The sequence below is a fragment of the Homo sapiens genome, chromosome 4 (assembly GCF_000001405.40).
Source record: "Homo sapiens chromosome 4, GRCh38.p14 Primary Assembly".
Classification (NCBI taxonomy): Eukaryota; Metazoa; Chordata; class Mammalia; order Primates; family Hominidae; genus Homo; species Homo sapiens.
Genome location: NC_000004.12, coordinates 83,918,697 through 83,929,898, shown reverse-complemented (window position 1 = coordinate 83,929,898; position 11,202 = coordinate 83,918,697). Strand labels below are relative to the sequence as shown.

At 36.8% G+C, this 11,202-nt stretch overlaps 2 annotated features.

Moving 5' to 3' along the window:
* Positions 6,721-7,261: an enhancer, noted in NCBI's record as "OCT4-NANOG hESC enhancer chr4:84843791-84844331 (GRCh37/hg19 assembly coordinates)". NCBI's record gives its function as "activates a minimal SCP1, AML or CMV promoter by ChIP-STARR-seq in naive and primed H9 embryonic stem cells {active_cell/tissue: H9 hESC(naive and primed)}" and the evidence as "EXISTENCE:reporter gene assay evidence [ECO:0000049][PMID:30033119]".
* Positions 7,262-7,804: an enhancer, noted in NCBI's record as "OCT4-NANOG hESC enhancer chr4:84843248-84843790 (GRCh37/hg19 assembly coordinates)". NCBI's record gives its function as "activates a minimal SCP1, AML or CMV promoter by ChIP-STARR-seq in naive and primed H9 embryonic stem cells {active_cell/tissue: H9 hESC(naive and primed)}" and the evidence as "EXISTENCE:reporter gene assay evidence [ECO:0000049][PMID:30033119]".

The window sequence follows — 11,202 nt, the reverse complement described above, 5'->3', positions numbered from 1 at the left end:
ACGTCTTAGCTAGAAATGTTGGCTGATATTCAAATAGGCGTCACTTTGATCAAGAAAATTACAAGTGCAAACACTTGTCATTGTTTAAGTGTAACCAAAGTAAACTTATGGTTATTACCTAGTATTACGTGGCCACAGAAACTGTTCATGCAAAGGTTACCAATTACCTCCTGAGGTCAAGCCGGTGAACATTTGTAAATTCTGATTCTGCATGGCCTTTCTGTGGCATTACCTGCACACTATTTCTATAACACTACTGCTCATTCTAACTCTGCTTTCTCAGCCTTCTAGGAATCCTCATAACTTTTGGGGGGCTGCTATTTCTGAAGATTTTGTCCTCTGCCTGCATTTTATAACTAATACTCTCCCAGGGAAAGCTTAACCACTCCAATCACTTCAATTATCCTCATGCTGACAAGTCCTGTATATGTAGTCATTTTTCCTGAACTCCAAATACATATTCCTAATTTCCTTTGGACCTCTATATCCAGCACACTGACACTAGATATGAGAAGTATTCTCCTGTTGTTTATAATCAGTTTATCATTTAGTGTATTGTTATGGAATTGTCATACTCTGGAGAAAGAGTCAATAACCTTAGTCCTTACAACCAGCCATAAGTGAGGCAAGTCTCTCAGACAAGAAACCAGAACCCCAGAGGAAGAACCAATCTGAAATTTTCTCTGGTCTCTGTACGAGGAAAAAACAAAAAAAAAGACAACACTACTAAGAGCCAGTTTGGGGGTGCTGGAAATTACTATGGGGCTGTTCCACTGTTTTGTAACATTGGACAGCCTTGCTACTTTCATTCTTTTTTCATGTATTCTGTCCTTCTGAGTTTCTATCCAGCTGTCATAAATTCATGCAATAGCAACACATATCACTTCCTTTAAATATAATTTCCTGTTCACATGGTCTTGATAAATTAGTGTTGATTACCTGTAGTTTTTAAGTCCAAATATGTGATTAGAAACTATTTAAAGACAGGGTTCATTTTACCTCATCTGCATTACCAACTATCCCATTATTCACTCAAAGTAAATTTAAAATTTCATAACACCTCTATGAATTGCGCCTTCATCTACCACGTACACCTGAGATGTATCTTAATTCTCTAATAAAATTGCTAAGAGAGAGTTAGCTAGAATTGGTGAGAATCACTTGGGCTCTAGGAGGGGGCAATAATCTATAAATTTAAATACACAAAGCATCATCTCGCTCTTGTGATTGTGATTAAATTAGCCTTTGTGTCTGTGCTCACAATGTCATGTAAAACATACACAGAAAGAAAGGCAACTCTCTTTCATGAGTAAATGTTATAATTTGATATAATAAAAGAGAGCTCAGCCAGTGAAGGGGGTTTCTTTGTCCCTTTAGAACCTTTAAACCTATATTGTGCCCAAGGTACTCAGACATACACACACAGAGAGACAGTATTGATTTCCAGAATTTCTCTATGGAATGCCAAAAATAATAAACAAAAAATAAATCAAAAGCAACAGGCTCCTTCCATTATGTATTAAATATCCTCCCCATGAAGTTAGGACAAATAGAGATGTATATAGAAAGCAAGGGAAACATAAATCTAGTGTAGTCATCGATTTCTGCCTTGTTCCTTTATTTCTAGTAAATAATGATCTTCAGATCTTTCATGGTGGCACTATAGTAAAAGTCAGTTCTAGGAACCTTGGAAGTGTTTTATCTTTGAAAGAGCCAATGATACTGCCTCCTCTCCAAAATCATTGCATTCATTCATTTCTTGTTATGGAATGAAAACAACGTTTAGTAGAATCAGAAGAAATTGACAAAAGATAGTCGCTATAAGAGCTTTCTGAACAGTTATGTATACAGTCAATAAAACATTTTATATTGTCCTGTGTCAAATTAGAAAAAAAGGATTTCCCCAGAAAATGTGGCCCCTGAATATTACCATTAAGTTACTAAAAATAAAAATACTATAGATATGGATTACTAGAAAAACAATTTTAAAAATCTTAAATATTAAGTATACCTGATTGGACCTGAGGCTCAGCCCAAGCTGAAAATTCTTAGCTAACAAGATAAAAAGAGAAATAATTTAATCTACTTAGATGTATGAATTCAGTAAGCAAAGACCACTACTGCCATTTTATACAGACCTCTATATTCCCTCCCATTGCTCATTTCTCAGCAAATTCATAGGATGATGCATGACCAAGCCAGGTCATTAGATTTTAGAGCACATGAGAAGATGCCAATATATTTACAAGATAAACAATTAAGGGTGAATTCTGAATCTGGCAGTTAATTATCTATATGCCTTGAAAAAAGAATCACGTAACCTTTCTATATAATGAGGTAGCATGGCAATATACATGGGAAGTAATAGATAACTGTCAAGCATCTATTTAAGCCATGTGGCTTGTATATCTTAGTTTGAAATCAAGATGCTTTCTGGGATCTAAAGGAAGGCATCCCGAGAGGAAAGAAGGGAAAGAGACATAGAGAAGGTTAAGATTCAGAGTAGTTTGATAATACAAGGATAAGTCTTATAACTTGAGTCTTTTCTTTCCTTTTATTATTATTATTAGTTGTTGTTATTTCCAGTGGCAGCCTCTCACGAGGTGAGCACAAATGTCTTCAGTGGCATAGTCACCAAAGCTCACATACATCTTAATAAATCCAGTTACTTCAGTGAATCATTCTAAGCAAGACTCCTGCTTTGTTCCAGCTCCTCACTTCAGGATATGCACTTTTTATAAAGGGCTGTGTTTCTCTTACACAGAGATGTAGGTACTAAATTTCTGTGGGACCTTGTAGGTGGATGTCAAAAATAAAATAAATGCTGAATGAATCTTTTAGAGAAATCAATTGTGTCAACCACAGATTTTCTGGGTCAGTAGGTTGGATGTAATAGAAGTAGTGACAGATGCCTAGGATGATGACTTTTGTAGTTACCAATCAAGCCAGTCAAAAGCACAGTGTTTAAAAGGAGCAGTTATCCTACAACCAAAGAGGTGAGAAGAAACTACATGTTTCACATAATAAATTAAATTTGTGATGCCATCAATGAAGAGCCCTTCACATTCCTCCGACATTCCTCCCCCTGCAAAATTATACCCATCACCTTGGGTAGCTGTGCCTTATGGTCTACTAAAGTCCATGGCCTCAATTATATATTAATACAGCTTTACAGTTCTTAGGTAGGGATTTTTTTCTTTTAACAAAAATCTTGATATTTGTCCCCTACACTCTCACTTTGACCCAACAATCATCCTGTGAAAGAGGTGCCACTAGTGACAATTCAATTTGCTTTTTCAAGAATTTGCAAATGTAGGCAAAGTCAACGGGAATAATGCATCCTTCATGCAACTTTTACATTAAGAAGATGTGAGCTTTATTGGATTAGTCTCATAGAGGCAAGAACAGTAAAAACTAAAAATGACATGTTAGCTAATCATTACTTTGACAATAATTGTCATGAACAGAATTTTTTTATAGATTTTGGATGTAGCCTTGGAAGCAAAAAAGACTCAGATGCTGTGTTGGCCTGAGCTAAAAGGATTTTTTAAAATTTAATCTTTAAGAAGCTCCCGAGATACAGGCTAAAAGAGTTTATAAAGGTCATAAAAAAATTAACTTATCTTGCTGACTGAAGCTTTTTTAATGCACTCTAAGTTACAAAGGAATCGCATCTGGAGCCTTTAGGCCAATGGTCTACTATATTTTTCTCTCATTAGTAAGGACAGCAAAAATCTGCATTTGGATTTTTACCACCGTAATCATCTCTGGTTCATTAGTCTTCATGATTGAATATGAGGAGAGCATGGAGCCAGTGGTGTAGGAATATTTTGTACTTATCTCATTTGCTCACACTGCAGTTCGGGAGGCAGCAAGAATCGTGGGAGGATCTGGGCCGGCTACTGGGGCTTAAAGTGGTCAAGGAAGAGTCAGACTGACTTCTATCAGGCCTGTCTGGAAGAAAAAAAATATACAATGAAAGGTCTTTAATGAAGGACTATTACTTAGGTAAAGCAAAATTTACTCTTCTCTTGATGTTTAGCATCAGAAACAAAATTGGCTGGAGACATCATCGTAATGGGCAGCTAGATCCAGAGGAATCTCACCTTGATAAATTTCAGCTTCCTCAACCATATATTGGAGATAATAAGCTGGCCTTAGTTATTTCACAGGCAGTTGTAAGGCATGTATGAAATAATATATATAAAATATTTTATTGTGATCAATCTCCATATAAACATTGTGCATTTTCATCATATTGACCATGATGGGTTAGAAAATCGGCAATTTCATGCAATACTTCTAAGAGTAAAACTTTCTACAAACTAGAGAGTATTCTATATATTTTTATCAAGGGCTTTTCTTAAGGGAAGCATGGCCTCTGGCTTGGCAATTCTGTTACTGGAAATTAATCTTACAGGAATAAGAATGAAGAGAATGATGTACAAGTGTGCCATCAAAAAATTGTTTACAAGAATAAAAACACTAGAAACAATTTAAATGTCCAACAAAGGGGATGAATAAAATAAAGTGTGGGTAAATAACATTCTATACATAATTAGGAATGATTATGTAAATTTGTATTTATTGGCCAAGAATAGAAGGATATTTCACCCAGTATTGTTAATAGGTATACTGAGCATGTTATAAAACACTAAAGATAGTGTTAAAAAGGACAAAGAAAAATTCTTGAAGAAAATTAGAAATGCACAAAAGTATTAGTAATGGTTGTCACTGGATAAGGATTATAGAGGATTTCACTTTTTCCTTTGTGTTACTAAGTATCGCCTGATTATTTTTATTTTTTATTTTTTAATTTAATTAATTTATTTATTTATTTTGAGAAAGGGTCTCACTTTGTCACCCAGGCTGGAATACAGCGGCATGATCACAGCTCACTGCAGTCTCAACCTCCCAGGCTCAGGCCATCCTCCCACCTCAGCCCCCCAAGTAGCTGAGACTATAGGTGTGTGCTACAAGGCTTGGCTAATTTTTAATTTTTTGTAGAGACAGGGTCTCACTGTGTTGCCTAGGCTGGTCTCAAACTCCTGGCCTCAAGCAATCCTCCTGTTTTGACTTCCCAAAGTGCTGGGATTATGGGCATGAGCCACCATGCCCAGCCCGTTTTTGTAATTAGCCACAAAAATAGAAGTTACTTCCACTTTGGAAAAATAATAGCCCAGGCTTGCAAGTTCAAATTTGGCATGAAAATTCAAATTTGACGTTAAGTAGCATATTAAAAACATGAAGACCATGGTTATGCCCAAAAGACACATATATAAATATAGTTGTACCTTAGTTTAAATTAACCCAGTTGACACAATGAGGATTTTCTAAAGTCAAGGACTGTATCTAATCCTTTGTTCCTTTAGCATCAGCAGTGCTAGGCACATGGCAGATTCTTAATAAATATTTTTTAAATGAATGAATGAGAATTTTATAAGAAGAATAACCTTAAGAATCTTTTAAATAAAACAATCTCTGCCACAATGAAAACAAGATTCGATTTTTAAAAATCTGTTTACATACAGTACATAAAGAAATATAGCATAATGGATGAAAGAACACGAATGACTAGACTGCCTGAGTTTGAGGCCCAAATACACCACATAGCCAAGGCATGTTACTCAACCTTTTTCCCCTCTTTTACGAAAAAGGTAATAATAGTATCAACTTCAGTTGTTGATAAATGAATAATCCACAAAAAGTATTAAACACAATGCCTTGTAGATTCTTCCTAAAAGTTGTGATTAATGTTGTTTTTACTGCTGTTGTTGTCATCGTTGTTGTTGTTCAATTCATCATTGTTTAAAAGTGGGCTTTCAGGGGGAGACAATTCAGTGAACAAGTTGGCCAAACTGGATGTTTGGCATTGCACTGACACACTTTGAGGCCTCTCAAGATGAGAGACCGGCTTGAATTACTGTCATTTGGCTCGTCTTAAGACTGCTGAGCAAAACCAATGAACACTTATCAGGCCTCGGTTTTAAAAATGTCTATAGGATTTTTTTAACCCAGCTGTACCACTGGTTTAGGCATTTCTCCTAATGCTGAAGTCTTCTCTTTGCTGGAATTTTGATTGGGCTGCCTCCTTTAACCTAAATTATTTTTCAAATTAAAAAGCTTCCAATAAGCTAACCTTTAACAGGGAGGTTATATGGGGTGCTTCTCTGAAGTCAATTGCATTCTTCTCATTAGTATTCATAACAAGATCCCCTAACAATTGAGGATATTACATAGCTGGACAACAAAACATAATTTTTATGAATAAGAAAATCCAGCATAATCTGTTTGGCAACTTTTTTGTTAGAGATCTTGCTAGGGTTTTTATTCACTTTGGCTAAACCCTGTGATTGCGTTAGAGGTTCATGGCATTCTCATTATTTATTACAACTTGTTCCACATAGGGGTCATTCTCTTCTACCCTTTTTAATCATAATGATGACAGTTGAGAATTGACATTGTGCACTATTGTGTACTGTCAAATGCATAACAAATACCTTAATCAGGCTTAAATAGCTCAAGAACCACAACTATTTATTGCAGGTCAGAGGCAAATTTCTGGGGATGGCAAGTGGAGATGTGAGGATATTAATTTCAATATGCCCCGCCTCAAATGATAGCACCTAATTTGATCAAACATTTGCTTCATTTTATATGAAACTATGTCTCTTCTACAGTAGCAATAACCTGGATCAAATAATCTAGCAGAGACAACTAGAATTAATAACCAGACTATACTAGCGATTTTGTTGACTTAATACATTTACAAAATCAGAAACTTGGTGAATTTAATATAGCTAATTTCCTTAATATGCTTAAGAATCTTAAGAAAGAACAATATCTTTTGTGCATTTGCTTAGTGATAAATAGATTCTGTCATTGCAACATGCACTCTTCTTTCTTTGATTTCTGAGAGCAAAGAAGAAATTTTCAAAATGGAGTCTTCATTCCTTCCCTAGTAGCTATTTCTAAGGTTCATGTGATTTCTGCCATACTGGTAGTAATGCCCCTTAAAGGAGGTGCATGTTACATTTTAGAAAATGATCACTAAAGGGCCACTTTTTGTTTCCCATTAAAATAGATTTATTTCAAATGTAGAGGGTAGTGATAACAGATCACATTTCCACATTGCCTGACAGATAGGATTAACTACCTGAAGGCTCTGTTTCAAAACTAAAAGGGTGCTTATGGCTCCTTAACACTTTTAAAGCAAACTCTTTGTGTCTGCTCTAAGCATGCTAAGGTGGAGGGCATTTATTTCCACAGCAGGAGGCCCATGGCAACACTCAATCGCTCTTACTTCACATTTATTATGCTAAATGACCAATGCACACTTAATCACTTGGCCTGAGAGAGGTGGCTAAGGGGATGCAGGTTTTCTCTGTAAGGGTATTGATGGAGTGGCTTAGAGATCAGCCTGCTTGGTGTTTCAGTCAATTAGAAAACACCTTATCCATGAAGTGGACTGACTGTACTTTCAAAATAAACTTGGATAAGACTGGATGCTGTTCTATTCCAATACGAATCTTTAAATCATGATCAACGAGGTCAATGTACCTTCACTTAGCTGTTTGCTCTATTTGGGATATGGTAAACTCTGGCTCTCTGTAATGATTTCTAAAAATATTAGTGTAATAATCAGGATGATAAATGCCAAGAACTTTCATGCTGATTTTATAACCACAGCAACCACTTAGAAATATTTTGTTTCTCCTTTTTCTCCCAACTCCAAGTAACTCACTCAACTTTACCCAAATTACTATGTGTGAAATAAAAGGCTTACAATAGCAGGTGTCTGTAAATTGAATTTTGAGCTCAGGTAAAAGATATGCAACTACATTACATTCTATTTTATAAAAGCATTGATCTTTTCAAGATAAAGGAAAAAAATTAAGTTTTTTGAGGTTTATTGTTAACTTCTCTGACTCTTTTGTTCACTCAATCAAAACCTCAGAATCATCTTCAACCTTCTCATCTTGTTCACCAGTCTGTTGCCAAGTCTATGGATTCTACTTGCGTAATACTCTGTCTCTTCTTATGAGTTCCCACTGCTCCTCTTTTTTTAGGTTATTGTTTCTTCTCTTTAGGATTAACCAGTCTCCTTAATACCAATCTCTGTTCTTTAATCTATCTTATACACTGTGACCACATAAAGCTTCCAAAAGTGCAGAGTAGATCATGTCATTTCCTTGCCCCCAGATCCCTAATGACTCCATATTGCTTAATTTTTAAAATAAACTGCTTAGGCCGGGCGCAATGGCTCATGCCTGTAATCCCAGCACTTTGGGAGGCCAAGGCTGGCGGATCACAAGATCAGGAGTTCAAGACCAGCCTGGCCAACATAGTGAAACCCCCTTTCCACTAAAAATACAAAAAAAATTAGCCGGGCATGGTGGCGGGCACCTGTAAGCCCAGCTACTACTTGGGAGACAGGCAAGGAGAATCGCTTGAACCTGGGAGGCGGAGGTTGTAATGAGCCGAGATCAGGCCACTGCACTCCAGCCCAGGCGACAGTGCAAGACTCCTCTCAAAAATAAAATAAAATTAAATTAAATTAAATAAAATTAAATTAAATTAAAATAAAAAATAAAATAAAATAAAATAAACTGCTTAGTCCAGTATTCAATGGCTGTCCCCTATCCTTCTATCCCTGTCCCCAAGTCTACCTTTCCAGTTTCATTTCTCTCTGCTGTCTTCATTCACCCACTAATTCAGTAGTGTGGCATTCGTTAATATTCATCATGCAGGATCTGTGCGTGGGATTTCCTGTTCCCTTGCTCTTCTCCCACTGTATCTCCTTTCCTACCCCCATTTTATACAGCCAAATCCTGTCTGCTTAGCCTTCTCTGATTTCCTCCAATGTGCTGATCCCTCTTCTATATCTATATACCTTATGACATTTTCATCTTGTATGATAGTTATATATATCTCTTAGACTTTAAATTGTTTTTATAAATTCCCTGGAAGTGGAGTCTAGGTCTGATTTTGTTTTGACATCCCCCTTAGTACCTAGCACCGTGACTGACACATTGTATCCATTTAATACATATGTATTGATGTATTCCATTCACAAATGAATCCTAATTTACTATTCTTAAAACATCATAAATTTATGTTTTCAGACACCTACTTTCACCTATTCAGATCTTGAAGCATTCTAAATTCGAACAGATGTTCGGTGACAGCTGGGAGAAATTACACTGCAGATACCAAATCATCAGCACAGCTCTCAGGATCACATCTTCACCTGGTTATGTGTTCTGGACAGCTGTGCCTTCTTGGAAATGCACTTGGCTTCAGGAGCGAGCTCTGTTTGTAATACCCTTATAACATTCCAGAATAAACATGACAGGCCTTGATGTAGAGTAGAATATGTGCAAGTCCATGATCTATTTATGTTCTCAGGGGATTAAGGGGGGGCTCATTTTGCATTTGTAAAGATGTTTCTTATCTCAAGGCCTCAGTCAATTTCAGATCACTGTGATTTTACTTTTAGTAAAAAAAAAAAAAAAAAAAAAAAAAAAAAAGTTCAGATAGCCTGTGATGGGGAAAATATGAATATAAGGAAAATGTATAACTCAGCATATGCTGGAGGCCAGAAACAAGACCAAATGATGCATAGTTAGGCTCACTTTTCCTGAATTGGATGCATGTTCTGCATCCAAATGTGCATTAAATTTGGCTATTGCATCGTTTTTTATACTTGTCTGCCCTGAAACTGTTCTTTCCATTCTCTTGGGACTATGGCCAAAGGTAGAACATTAGTGAATATCCATGTTACCTAATCTCCTGTGGTATATTTTATTCCATGCCCTTTGTTTTCTTTCTTTCCTCTTGATTACTCATATGTACCCCATTCCTGTACTCTATGTTGGTAGGGGTAGGTGGGGGAAGAAAATAAATATGCCCATGGTTGTCCTAGTAGATACCAGTTTATAAATAGTACTGGTTTGAGTGTGCACTGGTTTTCTGAATACAGGGAGGTCAAAAAAAAAAAAAACATTTTCTTTTGAAATGAAAAAAGGAGGTTAAAACAAGAGTTCTAATAACAGGCTTAACACAGAGCAGTAATACCAGCATGAATTACCCTTGGTACCAGACTTTTATTGGAAGTCCTAGATTGCTTTGTTCCTGTCCCTGACATAATATTCAGAGTTGGGTTTATATTTGTCCAGAACGGAGCTGCTTGCTGCAGTCCATGCAAATCAAATGCTTGATTTATGTACCATTTTACTGGAGGGTATAGCATTAAATTTAATTTTGTGAGGGAAGCCTGAGGTGCTTCAATGCCTGGGCCTGACATTGTGAACTAGGTAGAGAGGTGCACAAAAATTCATTACAGTTTCCAATATGCGAAATGCAGCATTTGAATGAAACATTTGTCTCTTGTCAAAAAGGCGTCATGTCTATTCTTGGATAAATATTTCCACCCCACCCCTCAGGACACAAAAGCACATTTTTGGCCTTCATCACAGATCTTAATAAAAGAAGAGTGACTACAAGTATTTGGGGGACTCCAGGGACATCAAGCAACATGTGTCTGTGAAATTAAGAATTAGTAGTGATATCAACACAACTGTCTGTACCTTGACTGTTGAATGTTGCAGCAGAAAATTGGTATACCTATACTAATTAGCTATATGAGAAATTTGTGACGTTTTTCATCTTTAGCTAGATACTGTTTACCAATCTTGTTGCTCATTACCGGTTGGCTTCCTTTTCTATCCCCTACAGCACCTATTCAACACTTGACTGCACTCTTCCCAGTATCCTAACCTCACCGCTAACTCCTGGGTCGCAGCAGAAATCCTGTCATTCACCTCCCCAGGAGACTCAGGGCCATCAGGAGTCAACATCCCTAGCTTTCCTTCCACATGCCTCATACTCTTTGTAAACACTGTTGATCCTCCATTGCTCATGGAAGACAGTCTTTAACCTTGTTACCCTTGAGCATGCAGGTAAATCCTTTAGTAACCTGCCCTGTCCTTCCTTTCCAGCCTCATCTCCTGCACACTCCCCATGCACTAAGTGTTCCAAAACATACCTGGGCTCACCTGCTCCCTCTGCCAGGAATGACCTTCCCCTGTTTCACCACCAGCAAAATCTGCTTCTCCGTGAAGCTCTTCTCTCTCAAAAGAGGCTTGCTTACACCATTCATAGCACTAGTATAAAAATAATAGCACATTTAGTTGAAGTATG